The 19,967-nt window shown below is 44.0% G+C and overlaps 1 protein-coding gene across 5 annotated transcripts in view, besides 2 other annotated features; it reads left to right on the top strand.

Annotated features, from left to right (window-relative positions):
- Positions 1-936: 936 nt before the first annotated feature.
- The window catches only part of CFAP97D2 (CFAP97 domain containing 2), a 43,829-nt gene continuing 24,798 nt past the window's right edge, over positions 937-19,967 (top strand). For all 5 annotated transcript variants that reach the window (NM_001437370.1, XM_047430025.1, NM_001395230.1 and 2 more), the window contains exons 1-2: positions 937-1,100; positions 18,076-18,156. In NM_001437370.1, the coding sequence (NP_001424299.1) occupies positions 1,011-1,100; positions 18,076-18,156 (171 nt within the window). In that variant the 5' untranslated portion in view covers positions 937-1,010. The remainder of the gene's footprint in view (positions 1,101-18,075; positions 18,157-19,967) is intronic.
- Positions 7,206-7,797: an enhancer, noted in NCBI's record as "H3K27ac-H3K4me1 hESC enhancer chr13:114951001-114951592 (GRCh37/hg19 assembly coordinates)". NCBI's record gives its function as "activates a minimal SCP1, AML or CMV promoter by ChIP-STARR-seq in naive H9 embryonic stem cells {active_cell/tissue: H9 hESC(naive)}" and the evidence as "EXISTENCE:reporter gene assay evidence [ECO:0000049][PMID:30033119]".
- Positions 8,391-8,982: an enhancer, noted in NCBI's record as "H3K27ac-H3K4me1 hESC enhancer chr13:114952186-114952777 (GRCh37/hg19 assembly coordinates)". NCBI's record gives its function as "activates a minimal SCP1, AML or CMV promoter by ChIP-STARR-seq in naive H9 embryonic stem cells {active_cell/tissue: H9 hESC(naive)}" and the evidence as "EXISTENCE:reporter gene assay evidence [ECO:0000049][PMID:30033119]".

A 19,967-nucleotide genomic window follows, 5' to 3' on the forward strand; every position in this document is an offset into this window, starting at 1 on the left:
GGGGAGGAAATAAAGTCATATTTTGGCTTCACTCACATCTTATTACTTCCAGATCTGATTCTTTCTTTCAGACTGGCAGCCACTACATCCTGCTAATATTCAGAGCAAATTTCTCATGAAATGCCCTGTATCTGCTCCTCACATATGCAAAGCTGAACAATGAGTTCCCATCCATGGATTCTGCACTGGAGTCTCATGTGATGAGAGCTGTAGTGTAATGAAGACCACAGCTCTGACATGAAAATGATGATGCTATTTTCTCATTAACCAAATCCTCTGATGTGTCGTCGCCAACATTGCGCACGTGGCTTCAACGAAGATGAAACGACCGACAGCTGTCCTAGCGCCATGTTCACTCCATTCGTCTCAGGAAAAACCCATCCCAACCTGATTAGAGCAATGGAGAGAGGGTGGCTTAAAACAGCTAAGCCTTTGCATAACTCGTCTTCAAGTCAATCAGAAAAATTAGGGAGGATCTGCTGCCTAACCTTCAAACAAATATTTTGGAATTGTCTGAATTATATAAATTATTCAAGATAGAAGAGAAAGGAGATAAGGAAAGCAGAAAGAAAGGTACTAATTAAGAAAGGAAAGAACTGGAGAGCGGGAGAGGTTGGGAGGAAGGGCAGAAGAAAGAGGTAGGGGAGAGGAAGACAGCAAGGAGCAAAGGAAGGGTGGGCAGGAGGAAGGTTAGTTGGAGAATTTCTCGGATCTTATGTGTGATTATCTCCTTCCTCTGTAGCTGAGGAGTGGCATCAAAATGGCAACACTAAACTATCCAAGATCTCCTGAAAAAAAAAAACACCCCAGTGGAGAAGAAGATCCCACTCTTCACCATTATTCTTCGCGTGTTGTTTGAGAATCCCAGACTGTCTTCTGGCTCCCGTTCTTCCCCCTCCTTGGACGCCATGACAACTGTCACATGACCCTGCAAACACAGCGTCTCCAGGTCTGCACCAGGCCCCAGCTGCTCCTCTGTCTGGAATGAGCAAGACGATTTTGTTGCTGAGATGCACGGAGCCCCCCGGCTGACCTTTCCCTGTGCCAGTGAGTACCTGTGGCATGCAAGGGAGAAAGCCTATCAGGACCACAGGAGAAAGGTAGGAAAGTCCCCAATCCAGCCCTGACAGCTCAGCGGGCGGGCACCAAGCAGCGCCCACGAAATGCCTCTGCTTTCCCTGGAGTCCTGGAGGTGATTTTCTTTTTGGAGACAGCATGGTTGAAATGACATTTCCTAACAAGATTCATCATCTATGTTGCCATACAATAAAAATCTCATTAAATAGTTGACGGCTTTCTTTCTTTCTTTTTTTTTTTTGAGATGACAGCTTTCATGTGCCATGTTTTAGGGCCATCCTATTTCTAATCACAGCATATATTTAAGAAGTACTTAATTTTTCCTAAGTGACTTGAAAGCATCTTAAGACAAAAACACCAGAAGCATCCTTTTCTTTTTCTTTCTTTTTGTTTTTTGTTTTTGTTTTTGTTTTTGTTTGTTTTTGAGAGGGATGTTGCCATAGGGGTGTTGCCATGTTGGTCAGGCTAGTCTTGAACTCCTGATTTCAGGTGATCCACCTGCCTCAGCCTCCCAAAGTGCTGGGATTACAGGCATGAGCCACCGTGCCCGGCCCGGCATCCTTTTCTCTATCAAAACAGTGGACTCCAAGGGGGACTAAAAGCCAACCCTTGTCCCCATTAGAAGATATGTTATTATTTCCATTTATTGGATGCAAATGTGGACAATTGTTTGAGGGCATCGCCATGCAGATCTGAGGTGGCCTCCCACAGTCTTCTGCCCACACCTCAGTGGAGGCGTCAGAGAACGATGTTCCATGTATCATGTCTCCACATGTGTGTTGATCAGGCTGGAAATACTCTTAAGAAGGAGAAGTTTGGGTTTCTGTTTCTGGGAATGGAGACACTGCCCTGTAATGATCTTAAGTGACTACCCCAAGGAGTGAACTGCAGGTCAAGCATTTCTCTTCCTCCTAGGGTTGCAAGTGACATTGTGTGGCCTGGGCTGCAGGTCACACTCATTGCAAGGCGCCATAGCACCCAGCCCCCACCCCACGTCAGGCCTCTGCACCTGCTGTCTCCTTTGAGGTCCCCACTGGGAACTCTTCCCGGCTCCTTCCCCAGCTCAACCTCACTTCCTGGCACTCCGGTTCCAATATCATCTCCCTGGAGTCTTCTCTCTCCCCTCTGCCGCTCTCTGGTTCCTGGGCCTGCTACCTCCTGTTGCCACGTGATTGATGGGCATGTTCATTACTTGTGTTGTTTTCCCCACTCAGTGCTGACCACGTCCTGCCCACCACGATGTTCTCTGCACGTAGAGTGTGGAGTGAGCACTTGGTCAACCGTTGTCAGTAGGGAAAGATGGAAAGCAGTGGGTAAGGCAATAGCACATATGAATCAGTTAGCATTACAGTAATACTACAGGATAGAAACCCCATGGGTGTTTTCTTGTTTGCTTTTGTATCCCGGGGACTAGAATACCTCCTGCATGAGGTAGCTGGTCAGTAATCCTGCAGCCTAAGTGAGTAACCAGGCTCTGTACCTGAGAAACTGTAAGGTAAAGAAGGTTGAAATTGTCGTCATGGGAGGTGCAGAGATGATTGAATAGTGAACTTTGGTAGGTTGACTGGAGCCATGAGGCCCCAGGGGGCATAAGCTAGTTTAGCAGCTCTGTGACGTCGGAAACCTACAGGTACTGGGTCCAAGGATGGAGTCATTGGAACACCCCAGTGTGGCCCCCGAGTAGCAGCAAGGGGCATGGGCCGGGAACCTATGATTCTGGCACGAAAGTGTTGAAAAGAGGGACTGGGTGTCTGACCTGGAGGGGATGAAGTGAAGACAGAGAACCAGTCCAGAAAGAGAGAAACTGGAAGTCACATATCGTAAGGAACTGCTGTTGGGCACAGCTGACCAAGTGATGAAAAGGAGGTTGTGGTGAAGAACAGGGCAACTGAAAGCACAGCTTCCCAGCAGGGGCAGACACAGGTGGTGATGATGCCTGGGTGTCCTGGCAGGGGTATGCTGAGGGGCGTGAGGGTAGGACATGAAACCTGGCAAAGGAGGTTAAGGCAGCTGGCAGAGCCGTCCCACGGGGGTAGGGCTCATTTAGGACAAAGAAATGGGAGAAGAGCAAGATGGGCCCTGACGCTACAGGCCCCACTGAATGAGGAGAAGGGCAAGCTACAGCAGAAGGGTGAGGAGCAGCCGGGGCTGGAAGCAGCTACATGAGCAGGACCCCTCTAACACTCCACAGTTCTCCAACTGGCACTAAAACTTGAATGCAAACAATGTTTCTCCCAAATTAAGAGTGGAGAGAATCAGCTCTTTGAATAACTTAGTTTTTTATTGCTTGGCTGAGAATCTCTGAAACTGTAAAGGACCTTGGTAGAATAAGAGGAGATAAAATAAGAGGAGAAAAAAGACCTGTGGGAGAACAGTGCATCCCAGTCCCCTGATGACTGCCCTCCTAGAATAGGGGCCTCATCCTCAGCCCAGCCTTCCCCCTCAGAGCCTGAGTGGCCCCTGCCCCCAGCGCTCCCCAACGCACCTGACCCCTCAGCCAGGCTGGCCATGCCTGAAGGGGTGGCCTGCCCCTCCACACCTGTGGGTATTTCTAGTCGGGTGGGACGAGAGACTGAGAAAAGAAATAAGACACAGAGACAAAGTATAGAGAAATAACAGTGGGCCCAGGGGACCGGCGCTCAGCATACCAAGGACCTGCACCAGCACCGGTCTCTGAGTTCCCTCAGTTTTTATTGATTATTATTTTCATTATTTCAGCAAAAAGGAAAGTAGTAGGAGAGCAGGGTGATAATAAGGAGAAGGTCAGCAAAAAACGTGAGCAAAAGAGTCTATGTCGTAATTAAGTTCAAGGGAAGGTACTATGCCTGGATGTGCACGTAGGCCAGATTTATGTTTCTCTCCGCCCAAACATCTCAGTGGAGTAAAGAATAACAAGGCAGCATTACTGCAAACATGTCTCGCCTCCCGCCATAGGGCTGTTTTTCTCCTATCTCAGAATTGAACAAATGTACAATCGGGTTTTATACCGAGACATTCAGTTCCCAGGGGCAGGCAGGAGACAGTGGCCTTCCTCTATCTCAACTGCAAGAGGCCTTCCTCTTTTACTAATCCACCTCAGCACAGACCCTTTACCGGTGTCGGGCTGGGGTACAGTCAGGTCTTTCTCATCCCACGAGGCCGTATTTCAGACTATCACATGGGGAGAAACCTTGGACAATACCCCGCTTTCAAGGGCAGAGGTCCCTGCGGCTTTCTGCAGTGCATTGTGCCCCTGGTTTATTGAGACTAGAGGATGGCGATGACTTTTACCAAGTATACTGCTTGTAAACGTTTTGTTAACAAGGCACGTCCTGCACAGCCCTAGATCCCTTAAACCTTGATTTCATACAACACGTGTTTTTATGAGCTCCAGATTGGATCAAAGTGGTTAGGTCAAAGTGGCTGGGGCAAAGCTACAAATTGACAACATCTCAGCAAAGCAATTATTCAAAGTACAGGTCTTTTTCAGAATGGAGTCTCTTATGTCTTCCCTTTCTACATAGACACAGTGACAGTCTGATCTCTCTTTCTTTTCCCTACAATGCCCACGGTGTCAACTCCAGCCTTGCACTCACTGCTACCTCCAGACACTGCCATCTCCAGAAACTCCTTTTTCCTCTTCCCTGTGCTACCTGGACTTCTCTTGGATGGGCTTGTTAGTAGACTGGCACTCCTGAGGAAAGAATCCCTGAGCTTTAGGACGTATCAGTTAAAACCCCTGTCTCAGTCCATTTCTGCCACTACAACAAGATATCACAGATTGTCATTATTTATTTATTTATTTATTTTGAGACAGTCTCACTCTGTCACCCAGGCGGGAGTGCAGTGGTGTGATCTTGGCTCACTGCAACCTCTGCCTCCCGGGTTCCAGCGATTCTCCTGCCTCAGCCTCCCAAGTAGCTGTGATTACAGTCGCGTGCCACCATGCCTGGCTAATTTTTTGTATTTTTAGTGGAGATAGGGTTTCACCATGTTGGCCAGGCTGGTCTTGAACTTCTGACCTCAGGTGATTAGCCTGCCTCGACCTCCCAAAGTGCTAGGATTACAGGTGTGAGCCACCACACCCGGCCAAAGATTGTCATTTATAAACAACAGAATTCACTTCTCACAGTTCAACAGGCTGAGAAATCCAAGGTTAAGGCACCAGCAGATTTGGTGTCTGATGAGGTCACGCTCTGCTTCCAAGATTGCTCCTTGTTGCTGCATCCTCATATGGTGAAAGGAACAAAAGGGATGAATGGCTGTGTCTTTACATGGCATAAGAGATGGAAGGCCCAGGCAGCTCTCTAAAGCCTCTTTTATTAATATGAGGGCATTAGTCCTATTCACAAGAGCAGAGCCCTCATGACTTAGTCACTTCCCTAAAGGCCCCACCTCTTATTACCACCACAGTGGGGATTAAGTTTCCACACGAACAATGGAGGGACACAAACATTCGAGGCATAGCAACCTTCAAAACTGAAAAGCATGCTGGACACAGTGGCTCATGCCTGTAATCCCAGCACTTTGGGAGGCCAAGGCAGGAGGATTGCTTGAGCCCAGGAGTTTGAGACTAGCCCTGACAACATAGCGAGACACCTTGTCTCTACAGTAAAATTTAAACGTTAGCTGGGCATGGTAGTATATACACGTAATCCCAGCTACTTGGGAGGCTGAGACAGGAGGATCACTTGAGCCCAGGAGTTTGAGGCTGCAGGGAGCCATGATCACTCCACTGCATTCCAGTCTGGGCAACAAAATGAGACCCTGTCTCAGAAAAACCAGCCGAACAGCCAAACAAGGAACAAACTAAAAAGCAAAGAGAACGAAGTCTGAATAAAGCAGAAAAGGCTATCCAAGGACTGTGGGACAATAACAAAGGTGTAACTTACTTGTAATGAGAATACCAGGAGAAGAAAGGGAGAAAGGAACAGAAGAAATATTTGAAGCAATAATGAATGAGAATTTCCACCACGTTAATGTCAGACACCAAGCCACAGATCCAAGAGGTTCAAAGAATGCCAAAAAGGATAAATGCCCAGAAAACTACACCTAGGCATATCGTGTTCAAACTACAGAAAATCAGAGATAGAGAAAACATCCTGAAAGAAGCCAGAGGAACAAGACTCCAACAGAGGAACGAAGATGAGAATGACACGCTCACCTCCTCCAGCCGGTAACCAGGAAAAAGTGTAGGGAGACATGTGAAGTGTCCAGAGGAAGGGAAGCAAGACCCTAGAATTCTGTACCCTGAGAAATTATCTGTCACAAGTGAAGAAGAAATAAACATTTTCTCAAACAAAAATTGAGGAAATCTGTCAGTTGACCTGCCTTGGAAGAAATAGCAGAAGAAATTCTTTAGAGAGAACAAAAATGGTGTAGGTCAGTAACAGATCCACATAAAGAAAGGAAACCATCAGAGCAGGAATAAGCAACAGTAAAATAAAAACTCTTATTTTTATTATTCTTAGTTGATCTAACAGATAAAAGTTTGTTCAAAACCATAATTACTGCATGGTGTTAGACTGTGTATACTTATGTGCATATCTCTATCTGTGATACACATACACCTGCTTTTATATTAATATAAGTGAAACGAATAAGCAGCCACTGTCATCATGTCAGTTGCAGTGGGTGGGGGGTGGTGCATGGGTGGTGGTGGTGGAAGCAGCTGCAGGAGTGGCAGTAACAGCGGTGGGACCTCTGTGTCCCACATCCCCAAGGCAGCCAACTGTGCTGCCCCAACCCTTGTGTGGCCAGGCAGGACCTGCTCCCAGGCCCAGGGCCTCCACCACTGCAGACTCTGGCCCCGTGTCACCGCTCTTGCCTGCTGATGCAGGGAGGGCACAGGAAAGAGGTGAACAGTACCCGGAGCCCACCCCTGGGAGCCCCCTGGAACCTGTCACCCTAAGAGCCGCTGTGATGGAGCCAGGCCGAGCTGCCTGCTGACGGGAGAGCAGTGCAGTTGGGCACACAGGAGCAGGCAGAGAGGGGCCCAGTGGGGACCTGGAACCCCCACCCCGGCTGTGAGGAGGCATGGCCAGGGCTGCACACTCCACGGAGCCTGTGGGAGCCAGGAATGAGTGGGAGCCCCACCCCTTCTGAGTTGGCATGTCAGGAGCTCCCTGGGTACAGCTGCAGCCACCTGGCCATGGCTGCGGACCCAGGCATGTGTGTGGTTCTGCACTCTCAGGAGCCCAGGAAGGCCCCCTGTCTCCCCGCAGGCTCAGAAGTGCCTGCTCCCACTGCCTGGCTTCTCCCCACTGTTGGCACCAGCTCCGATCTTGGAGAAAAGTTGGGGCCAAGCCCAGGCACTGTCACAGCCCGGCTGGGTGTGCCCACACTTAGGGCAGAAGTGACATGCCAGCCCCTTGCCACCTCAGCCCCCTCCAGATTTGGGCACTGACAAGCACAGGAGGGAGGCTGAGGGGGATGCAGAGGACAGCACAGTGCTGGCTGCGTGCCTCTTGGCATGAACAGCCTGCGTGCCATGAACAGCAACAGGAGGCAGACGGACTCCTGGGCAGAAGGGGTCAGGTTCCTGGTGAAGCCCCACCTTCAAGCTGGGGAGGGCCTGAAGCCTGGGGTTCCAGCTGCCTGTCCTGCAAGCCAGAGAGGGAACTTGTGGTGCTTTTCCCTGGGTCTGCCCATGGCCACCCATGGACCAATCAGCATGCACTTCCTCCACACTGAGGCCCATAAAAACCCTGGACTCAGCCAGACTCTAGCAGAGGATGGAGATATGATGGGGAGACGATGGGCTGACTAGCTGCAGGGAGGAGCTACCCTCTCTGCTGAGAGCTGAAGAAAGGACAGGATGACCAGCTACAGAGGGGAGCTGCACACCCCAAGGTCTCCTCTCTGCTGAGAGCTGAGACGTCAGGACAACCAGCTTCAGGGAGGAGCTACCCTCTCTACTGAGAGCTGAACACTTGTCAGGATACCGTGGCTATGGAGAGGAGCTGCCCACTGTGGGTCTCCTCTGAGCTGTTCTATTGTTCAGTAAAGCTCCTCTTTGTCTTGCTCACCCTCCACTTGTCTGCGTACCTCATTCTTCCTGGATGCAGGACAAGAACTTGGGACCCATCAAGTGGTGGGGCTAAAAGAGCTGCAACACAAGCAGGGCTGAAACATGCCCCTTGTTCACCATGCTGTGGGTGAAGAGGAGAAAAGAGAGAAGGAGAAAAGAGCTGAGGCTCTTGGGGGGTCCCAGACCTGGGAGCTCCCTGAGCCAGGGCTGTGACTCCCACTTTGGGGCCCTGCAGTTCCTGGAGCCTCCAAGCTTCTGGGCACCACTGCATTCCCCAGTGCCAACTATGGAAGCTTCTTGCAGTATGCCTGGTCCAGGCACAGCCTCGCAGTGAGCCAGCACCCATGCTGGCACCTGGAGCTGCCCATCTCACTGCAGCAGCTGGCATGACTGGCTGTGCAGTGACTGGACCCCACACTCACTCACTCACACACCCCTCGCCACTCCACTCCAGTCTCTTCAGAGGGATGGGATCCAGGCCAGTAGCATGAGCTGAGCACAGCCTGCCAGTCCAAGTGGGCCCAGTGGGCCCGAGCAAAATTCGGCAAAGGTGCCACCAGCCACAGAGGTTTCCAGCCAGAAAGGCAACACCCTCAAGATTCCCATAACAACACCAATGATAAGGAACAGGAGAGAGGTATTCAGATTATTTTGTAATATAAGTTACTCACACTACCTGTTAAGCAATATAGTGTTATTTGAAAGTGGACTTGAGTTATTTGTAAGTACATATTGCAAATCCTAGGGCAGCCATTAAAAATGTAATGAAAGAAGTATGACTGATAAACTAAGAAGGGAGAGAAAATGGAATCATATAAAATGCTCAATTAAAACCACAAAAGGCAGAAAAGACAAAAATAACAAATATCAAGAGTAACAAACAAAATAGTAACAAATATGATAGCTATTTATCCAACTATATTAATCACTTTGTAAGAGTAGATTAAAAAAAAAAGGCCCAACTATATGTTGTCCACAAGAAACCATTTTAAGTATAAAGACATATAGCTTAAAAGTAAATGATTGAAAAAAATATACCATGTCAACACAAGTCAAAAGAAAGCTGGAGTAACTATATTAATTTTAGAGCAGACTTCAAAACAAGGAAAGTTAAAGGGAACGATAAAATGGGGTCGATTCTCCAAAAAGGCATAATAATCCTTAATGTGCAAGCACCTAACAATAGAATATCAAACTACTTGAGATACTACAAGAAAAAATAGATGAATCCCCTTATCACAATTGGAGACTTCAACACCCCCTGTCAGAAATGTGCAGATCCAACAAGCAGAAAATCAGTAAGGACATAGTTGAACTCAACGTCATCATCAATCAACTAGATATAATTGATATCTATCATCCAATTCATCCAGCAACAGGATAATACTCATTCTTCTCAAGCTCACATGGAATATTCACCAAGATAGATCATGGATCATCTTCTGGGCCACAAAACACATATTAGCAAATTTAGAAGAACAGAAATAATACAATATCTACTCTTAGACCACAATGGAATTAAACTAGAAGTCAATAACAAAGATAACTGGAAGATCCCAAAACATGTGAATATTAAACAACAACAATGGGGGCTGGGTGCAGTAGCTCACGCCTGTAATCCCAACAATTTGGGAGGCCAAGGCAGGAGGATCACTTGAGCCCAGGAGCTTGAGACCAGCCTGGGCAACATAGCAAGACACCATCTCCACAAAAAAAAAAAAAGTTTAATTAACCAGGCATGGTAGTGCATGCCTGAGGTCCCACCTATTAGGGAGGCTGAGGCAGTAGATCACGTGAGCTGAGAAGTTTCAGCTATGATCATGCCACTGCACTCCAGCCTGGGTGACAGAGTGAGACCCTGTCTCAAAAAAAAAAAAAAAAAATCACATAGGTCAAAGAAGAAATTTCAAGAGACATTTAAAAATATTCTGAACTAAATGAAAATGGAAACACAACTTACCATAATTTGTGGGATGCAGTGAAAGCTGTGCTTCAAGGGAAATTTAGGGCATTGAATGCATATATTAGAAAAGAAGAAAGATCTAAAATCAATAATCTAAGTTTTTGCTTTAAGAAACTCAAAAAAAGAGGCCAGGTGCAGTGGCTCATGCCTGTAATCCCAGCCCTTTACGAGGCCGAGGCGGGCGGATCATGAGGTCAGGAGATCGAGACCATCCTGGCTAACACGGTGAAACCCCGTCTCCACTAAACATACAAAAAATTAGACGGGTGTGGTGGTGGGCGCCTGTAGTCCCAGCTGCTTGGGAGGCTGAGGCAGGAGAATGGCATGAACCCCGGAGGAGGAGCTTGCAGTGAGCCGAGATTGCGCCACTGCACTCCAGCCTGGGCAACAGAGCGAGACTCAATCTCAAAAAAAAAAAAAAAGAAACTCAAAAAAAGAAAAACAAACCCAAAGTTAGAAGTAAAGAAATAATAAAAATTACAGCAGAAATCAATGAAATTGAAAATAGGAACTCGATAGAGAAAAATCAATAAAACTTGGTTCTTTAAAAGATAATTCTTTGGGAAAAAAAATCAGTAAAATCAATAAGCCTGTAGCCAGGCTAACTAAGAAAAAAGAAGGAGGAGGCAAATTACTAATATTTTGCTATTATTAGTAATATTATTACTTATATTACTAGTATATATGTAATAATATAACTATAATAACTATGTTATAATATAACTATATTAGTAATAATATTACTAATATTAAAAAGCTATGATCATCAAGAAAGGAAAAAAGGAGCATCACTACAATCCCTAGGATATTAAAAGGATAATAAAGGGATACTATGAACAAATTTATGCCCACAAATTTGATAACCTAAATGAAAAGGGCCAATTTCTTCAAAGGTTCAATCTGCCAAAATTCACACAAAATGAAATAGGCAATCTGAATAGACCCATATCTATTCAAGAAATTGAATCAATAATTAAACTTCCAAAACAGAACACTGGGCCCAGATGGGTTCATTGGCAAATTCTATTAAACATTTAAGGAAGAAATTTTACCTATTCTCTACAATCGCTTTCAGAGGACTGAAGCAGTGGGAATACCTCCTGTATGTATTCTGTGAAGCAGCACTACCTTATAACCAAAACCAAAGACATTACAAGAAAACAGTAAATCAATATCTCTCATGAACATTGATGCAAAAATCCACAGCAAAACTTAGCAAATTCGATTAAAAGTGTATAAAAAGTATTATATGCCATGACCAAGTGGGATTCATTCCAGGTATGCAAGGCTGGCTCATCATTCAAAAATCAATGTAATTAATCACATCAATGGGCTAAAAAAAGAAAAATCACATGATCATATCAGTAGATGCAGAGAAAGCATTTAACAAAATCCAACATTCATTCATGATTTTTAAAATCCCAATAAACCAAGAATAAAGGAAACTAGAAGTTGAGGAAAACTTTCTCAACTTGATAAAGAATATCTCCAGGCTGGGCATGGTGGCTCGCCCTGTAATCAGAACACTTTGGGTGGCTGAAGAGGGAGGATCACTTGAGCCCAGGAGTTTGAGAACAGCTTGAGCAACATAGCAAGACCCCATCTTTACAAAAGAATTTTTAAAATTAGCTAGGCGGTGGCTCATGTTTGCCATCCTAGCTACTTGGGAAGTGGAGATGGGAGGATCACTTGAGCTCAGGAGTTTGAGATTACAGTGAGCTATGATTGCATCACTGCACTCCAACCTGGAAGACAGAGGGAGGCCCCGTCTTAAAAAAAAAAGGAATATCTGAAAAACAACCTCTACCTAACATCATACTTAATACTGAGAAACTTGAAGCTTTCTCACTAAGATCAGGAACAAGGCACTCACCACTCCTCTCACCACTCCTCTTAAACATCGTAACATTGTACTGAAAATGTTAGATACTGCAATAAGGCAAGAAAAGGAAATAAAAGATATAGTGATTAGGAAGGAGGAAATAAAGCTGTCTTTGATGGCAGATGACATGATCATCTATGTAGAAAATACCAAATAATCAATAAAAAGACATGTGGAAGGAATAAACAATTATAGCAAGGATGAAGGATATAAGGTTAATCTACAAAAGTCAATCACTTTCCTATACACCAGCAAGTGACGACTGAGATTAAAAACATGATAACAATTATATTAGCACCCAAAAAGTGAAATACTTAGGTATAAATTGAACAAAATATGTGCAAGATCTGTATAAAGAAAACTACAAAACTCTGATAAATGTAAATAAATGGAGAGATATTTTATGTTAATGGATAGGAAGATACAATATTGTCAAAATGTTAGTTCTTTCCAATTTGATCTATAGATTCAATGCAATCCCAATAAAAATCCCAGCAAGTTGTTTTGTTGATATCAGCAAACTCATTCTGATGTTTATACGGAGAGGCAAAAGGCCCAGAAAAGCCAATTTAATATTGAAGGAAAAGAACAAAGTTGAAGGACTGAAACTCATGGACTTTGAGACTTATTAAAAGCTATGATCATCAACACAGTGTGGTATTAATGAAAGAATAGGCAAATCATCAACTGATCTTTGACACAGCAACAAAGGCAATACAGTAGAGCAAAGACAGCCTTTTCACAAATGGTGCTGGGACAACAGAACATCCACATGGAAGAAGAGGAATCCAGACACAGACCTTACAGCCTTCACAAAATTTAACTCAAAATGGATCATAGACATAAATTTAAAATGCAAAAAAAGTATAAAACTCCTAGAAAATAATATAAGAGAACACCTAGAGGACCATGAGTATGGGAATGACTTTTTTTTTTAAATCAGCAAGCAGAGCTGGCAAGAAATAGGTTTTTAGACACAATGCCAATGGCATGATCTATGAAAGAAATTATTGACAAGCTGAACTTCATTAAAATTAAAAGCTTCTGCTCTGTGAAAGACAATGTCTGGAGAATCAGGAGACATCTATAGACTGGGAGAAAATATTCGCAAAAGATACGTCTGATAAAAGACTGTTTCCAAAATACATAAAGAACTCTTAAAACTCAACAATAAGAAACTAAACAATCCAATTTAAAAATTAGGCCAAAGACCTTAGCAGACACCTCACCAAAGAAAATATATAGGTGGCAAATAAACATATGAAAAATGCTCCACATCTTATGCATGAGGGAAATGCAAATTAAAACAATAATGGCCAAAATCCAGAACACTGACAACACCAAATACTGTCAAGGATGTGGAGTAACAGGAACTCATTCATTTCTGATGGGAATTCAAAATCATACAGCTGCTTTGGAAGACAAAATGGCAGTTGCTTACAAAACTAAACATACTATTACCATACAATCCAGCAATTTTGCTCCTTGGAGTTGAAAACTTTTGCCCACACAAAAACCTGCACATGGATGTTTATAGTAGCTTTATTCATAATTGCCTAAACTTGGAAGTAAAAAAGATGTCATTCAGTAGGTAAATGGATAAATAAACCACGGTACACCCAGACAATGGAATATCATTCAATTCTAAAAAGAAATGAGCTATCAAATATGAAAAAACATGGAAGAACCTTAACTGCATATTATTAATTGAAAGGAGCCAATGCTAAAAGACTGCATACTATATTATTCTAACACTATGACATTCTGGAAAAGGCAAAGTTTACTATGGAGACAGTAAAAAGATACGGGTGGGTGGGTGGGTGGGGGGAGGAAGGAAGAGCTGGAGCACAGAGGATTTTTAGGGCCATGAAAATATGCTGTATGATAATGCAGTGACGGATACCTGTTATTGTACATGTGTCCAGACTCATAGAATATGTGACACCAAGAGTGAACCCTAACGTAAACTATGGGTTTTAGGTAATTATGATGTGTCAATGTAGGTTCATCGATTGTAACAAACATACCACTCTGGAGGGGCATGTTGATAATGGGGGAGGTTATGCATGTGTGGATGCAGAGGGTATATGGGAAATATCTGTACCTTTCTCTCAATTTTGTTGTGAACCTAAAAGTTCTCTTTAAAAAATCATTTAAAATTTTTTTTAAATCGCAAACAAAAACACAACATAAAAGGACTGTGTTACCAAAATTGGCTTCTGAAGAGAAAGTCCAAACAGACCAGTTATCAGACAGTTATCTATAGTTTCATAAGAAAATTATACCAAACATTTGATGATCAGAAAATCCAATCCTGCTTAAATTGTTCCAGTGCAGGGAGAAAGAAAATTTTCTAATTTATGAAGCAAATAGGAGACATTGATCCCAAAACATGACAAATACTTCACCAAAAAAGTAAAAAAACACAAATCAATCTCACGTATGAATATCAATATGAAGACAAAAACATTCATAAAATAATATCAAACAAAATCTGAAGCACACTTTAAATAATCTTAACCAAGGAAATTCCATAGATGCAAGGGTGATTCCATATGAGGAAAGCCACTAATATAATTTACCACAATAATAGGCTGAGGAAAAAATTATACAATTGGTTCCATAGAGGCAGAAAATATTTTGACACAATTCAACACCCATTTATGCCAAAAAACAAGCAATAAAATAGAAATTACAATGATATGTCCCTAACATGATAAAATACTAATTAATATCTCACCTCAAAGCCAGTATCTTAATTAATAGAAAAACACTAAAAGTGTTCCTTCTATGGTAATAGATAAAACAAGGATGCCTACTATCTCTTACAATTTCTAAATTGTATTGGAGGTGTTAGTCAATGCAATTAGACAAGATAAATCCATTAGAGGCATAAAAATATTTTACAATAGATATTTTATTTGTAAATGAAATTCCTAAGTATCTGGAAAAAAACAAAACAATCAATGGAAAAACTACTAAAAACAAAAAATAAATTAGTAAAGATAATTAGGGCAGAATAGAATATTCAGATAGATTTAATTGCATATGAAAATTTAGAAAACAATAAAAGCAGTGTCTGTATTAGTCCATTTGTGATGCTATAACAGAATGCCCAGACTGGGTAATTTATAAAGAACAGAATTTTATTTCTCACAGTTCCAGAGACTGGGAAGTCCAAAATCAAGGCACTGGCAGCTGGTGTCTGGTGAGGATCTTCTTGCTGTGTCCTCATATGGCAGATGGTGGAAGGGCAAAAAGTGATGGACTCTGTGTCCCCATGTAGCAGAAGAGCATGAGAGACCCCACTCCCAAAAGCCCTTTTTATAGTGACATTAATCCATTTAGGAAGGCAGGCCTCACCTTCTAACACTGTTGCAGTGGATATTAAGTTTCCAACACATAAATTTTGGAGAATATATTTATATATAGCAGTATCTTAGACTGTTTGGGCTGCTATAACAAAACACTATAAGCTGGTGATGTACAAACAATAAAAACTTATTTCTCGCAGTGCTGGAGGCTGGGAAGTCCAAGGTCAAGGAGTTGGCAAATGTGTTTGTAGAGACAAAGTTTCACCATGTTGGCCAGGCTGCTCTTGAACTCCTGACCTCAGATGATCCATCTGCCTCGGCCTCCCAGAGTGCTGGGATTACAGGTGTGAACCACTGCACCTTGCCAAAGTTAATACAATAGACTGAAACATGTCAAATATGTTTTAACATTTTACTTCCTAATGTCTTTTAAAAAAACAAAACAAAACACCTCACTAGTCACCTTTGGAAGGTACTAAGAACCAACTCACTATTTTGAAATTGGCAAATAGAGAAAACCTAGTAAGTTTCTTGCCAGTGCAAAGCTTTTCTTTACAGAAGTATTCCAGCAAACAAATACAGATTGAATGATGGAATTAGAATATCTCCACTTTTCAAACCATAATGAAGTAATGGATCTAGGATCATTCACTGCTGCTAACATCACAAGGTAGAGACAAGCAAAAATTTGTACCTGCCAATAAAATGTCAAGATACCACCTGTGGTTTATCAAGGAAAAAGAAAAATGAACCTGAATTTCTAACTGCCAATATACAGAAAATGTCAGGCATGTGATCAGCAAAATCCAGACTCAGAAACTCTACAGGACAAATTCTCTGGATTTCTCATAGCAAATTGCAGGGAGAAAAACAGGGAAATTGTACATTAGACGTAAAAGATGTACGACCAGTGGCAATATAGGCCTTTTTACGTGAGTCCTGAGTCAAACATGGAAGGGAGGAGGGTGGAAGGGAGATCGGGTCTCCATTTTTTATACTAATAAGCACTCTGTTGGGGGCACTCATTTCCCCCCCAAGAGCATTCTTTGATGATTTTGCCAAAACCAATCTTTACAATGATGGTTACAAAATGGTGATTTTTCGACCACACCACTGCTTCTACGTTTACCAACTGGCATTTTGCTGTAAGGAAACACTCCCTTCCCCCCGTACCTAATGTTTAAATTAAACAAGAAGCAACATCAGATAACATTAAGGGGTTCAAAAGGCCTTGGTCAACAAGTTCTGCCACCAGGCAAGCTAGTGTGACATTTTTAATAACAGTTATGTTCTCAAATCTTTATCTGGAGCTTGAAGAAACTTGCTTCTAGAAAGCTCTGTGTAGGCATCTCAGATTAAACATAGTTAACTCAGAATTTCCTGTCCATGCCCCAAACCCACTCACCACCTTCTCTGTCTTAGTGTCACCTGGTATGAAAACTGAAAGCAGAGGGCATTCTTCATGCCTTCCTTTCCCTTCACCCCCGCCCCACACATGTACACCGCACCTGGGCCTGGATCTTGCCACCTCCCCGCCCAGTGGCCCCACAGCCCTGGGCATGCTGCAGGCCCAGGTCTCCTCCCTGGATGACCACAGGAGCCTTGGCATTGGCCTCCCTGCCTTCCTTCAGGCTTCTCTTCGTTCACACGTAGTGACAGAGGAGCCTGTAAAAAGTGACCATGTGACCATGTCACTCCTCTGCCTCTATTTTCAATGGTTCCCTTTCCTTTGGGGACCAAGTTGCAGCTCCTAAGTGTGCTCTGTGAACACGTCTCCATCTGCCCCTTTCTCCACCTCCTGACATCTCGCTGCATCTTCTCCACCCTCTGTGCTGTCACCACATTGCACGTGGGTTCAGTCCCCAGCCTGGCTATCCTTCTCCATGTGCTGGGGGTTTCTTCCTCCACTGGGGAGTTTCCCAATGCTGTCGCCTTCAGGTTATCCGTGAGCAGGTCCCGTAGTTAACTATCTATAAAGGAATGTCTAGAATATGCGGGGATTCCTTTTTATTGCAAGCAGTGATACATACAGGTCTCATGCATTTAACCTGTCACATTTTAAATATAAATGTTTCCCTTATTTGTACCTTTTCTAAGTGGAAACTTTAGAGATTGTTGTACAGCTAATGCCTAAGGTGCTCATCCTGAAATACTGGTGGAGAGCTTGGAAATTAAAGTGAGGTGGATGCAGGGACATAACTCACTGTATAAAAGGCCTCCTGGCAGCTGGGTGCAGTGGCTCACGCCTGTAATCCCAGCACTTTGGGAGGCCGAGGCAGGTGGATCACAAGGTCAGAAAATCGAGACCATCCTGGCTAATGCGTTGAAACCCTGTCTCTACTAAAAATTACAAAAAAAAAAAAAAAAACTAGCTGGGCATGGTGGCGGGCGCCTGTAGTCCCAGCTACTCGGGAGGCTGAGGCAGGAGAATGGCATGAACCCGGCAGACGGAGCTTGCAGTGAGCCAAGATTGCGCCACTATGCTCCAGCCTGGGCAACAGAGCGAGACTCAAAAAAAAAAAAAAAAAAAAGCCTCTTGGCAATAGAGTGCAGACTAGAAATGTCACCAGGTGTTGGCATTTAACAAATTCTCACCCTGCACCCACTTAATTCTGTCTTTTAAAAGGGCAATAGAGGCTCATTTCTGAGGGTGCCTGGCTTCCTCCAGGGGATACTCGGATTCCAAATCTAAGCACGAGCCTCTTTCAGAACTTCAGGCCGTGTGCTGACATGGAATCCCTGGTGCCACGAAAGACCCCAGAGCAGCACAATCTGAGCTCACTCTGTTTCCAATACTGCGCCCAGGTAACGCTGCCTCCTCATGCCACAGGTCCAGAGCGCCCAGCCGCTGGTAGACACCCGCGCCCCGCTGACGTTCCGCCATCTCCACCTGAAACTCAAGAGGCTGAAGGTACACTTTCATTTCTACCTTACTTAATGTAATAGCTAACTAGAAAATGCCAGCTTAAAAGCCCAGGAAAATAGAAAAGGCAGGGTTAGTAAGGAATAAACTCACCGAAGACAAAATGCAGTCTAGGTGATTAATTAGCCCCGTCTGTCCGTGAGGGAGCTGGTTGATAATTGGAGCAGAAATCTTTCCCCAGTCGTTGTGCTGACTATAAACCAAAAATTATCTGAGACAGGTCTCAATCAATTTAGAAGTTTATTTTGCCAAGTTTAAGGATCTGCCCGTGACACAGCCCCAGGAAGTCCTTGAAAACATGTTCCCAAGGTGGTCAAGATACAGCTTGGTTTTATACATTTTAGGGAGACTTGAGACGTCAATCAATACGTGTAAGGTGTACATTGGTTTCGTCCAGAAAGGCAGGACAACTTGGAGTGGGAGCAGGGGTACTTCCAGGTCACAGGTGGATTCAAAGATTTCCTGACTGCCAATTGGTTGAAAGAATTTATCTAAAGACCTGGAATCAATAGAAGGGAGTGTCTAGGTTAAGACAAGGGGTTGTGGAGACCGAAATTCTTATCATGCAGATGAAGCCTCCAGGTAGCAGGCTTCAGGGGAAATAGACTGTAAATATTGCTCATCAGAGTTAAAAAGGTGCCAGACTAAGTAAATTCTCTCCTGGATCAGGAAAAAGACCTGGAAAGGGAAGGAGATTCTCTACAGAATGTAGATTTTCCCCACAAGAGACAGCTTTGCAGGGCCATTTTGAAATATGTCAAATAAATATATTTTGGGGTAAAATAGTTATATATTTTTTAAACACCTGCTATCTATCATGTTGGTATCTTATTGCTACAAAGAGTCTTTTTGTCAGTTTTAAGGTCTCTGTTTTAACCTTAATGCTGGTCAGTTGTGCCTAAATTCCATTGGGAGCAGGGCATAATGAGGCATGTCCAACCCCACTTCCCATCATGGCCTGAACTAGTTTGTCAGGTTAACTTAGGAATGCCCTTGGCCAAGAGGAGGGGTCTGTTCAGTTGGCTGGGAGTTGTGGAGGGGGCTTAGAATTTTATTTGTGGTTTACATGACCCATCATGTCTTGGGGGGAAGGGAAGTGGATTCACAGTGACAATTTATTCAGTGCAGTTCCAGAATAACTAGCATCATTCCCTTACAGTAAACCATTTCTTAACCACCTCAGAATGTTGGGTTTTGGGTTTGTTTGTTTTTGAGATAGAGTCTCACTGTGTCGCCCAGGCTGGAGTCCAGTGATACAACTTCAGCTCACTGCAGCCTCTGCCTCCCAGGTGCAAGTGATTCTCCTGCCTCAGCCTGCCGAGTAGCTGGGATTACAGGCGCACCCACCATCAAGCCCTGCTAATTTTCGTGTTTTTAGTAGTGATGGGGTTTCACCATGTTGGCCAGGCTGGTCTCAAACTCCTGACTTCAGGTGATCTGCCCGCCTCGGCCTCCTGAAATGCTGGGATTACAGGTGTTGTTTATTTCTTTTTTCTTTTCTTTTTTTATTTTGTTTTTTAGACGGAGTCTCGCTCTGTTGCCTGGCTGGTGTGCAGTGGCACGATCTCGGCTCACTGCAACCTCCGCCTCCCGGGTTCAAGCGATTCCCCTGCCTCAGCCTCTCCAGTACCTGGGACTACAGGCCCGCACCACCACGCCCGGCTAATTTTTTGTATTTTAGTAGACACAGGGTTTCACCATGTTGGCCAGGATGGTCTGATCTCCTGACCTCGTGAAGTTTACCTCATTTGGTGATTGAGAATTGCATGGTTATCTCGAAGTAATGCCTCCAGGACAAA

Source organism: Homo sapiens, chromosome 13, assembly GCF_000001405.40.
Source record: "Homo sapiens chromosome 13, GRCh38.p14 Primary Assembly".
Taxonomy (NCBI): domain Eukaryota; kingdom Metazoa; phylum Chordata; class Mammalia; order Primates; family Hominidae; genus Homo; species Homo sapiens.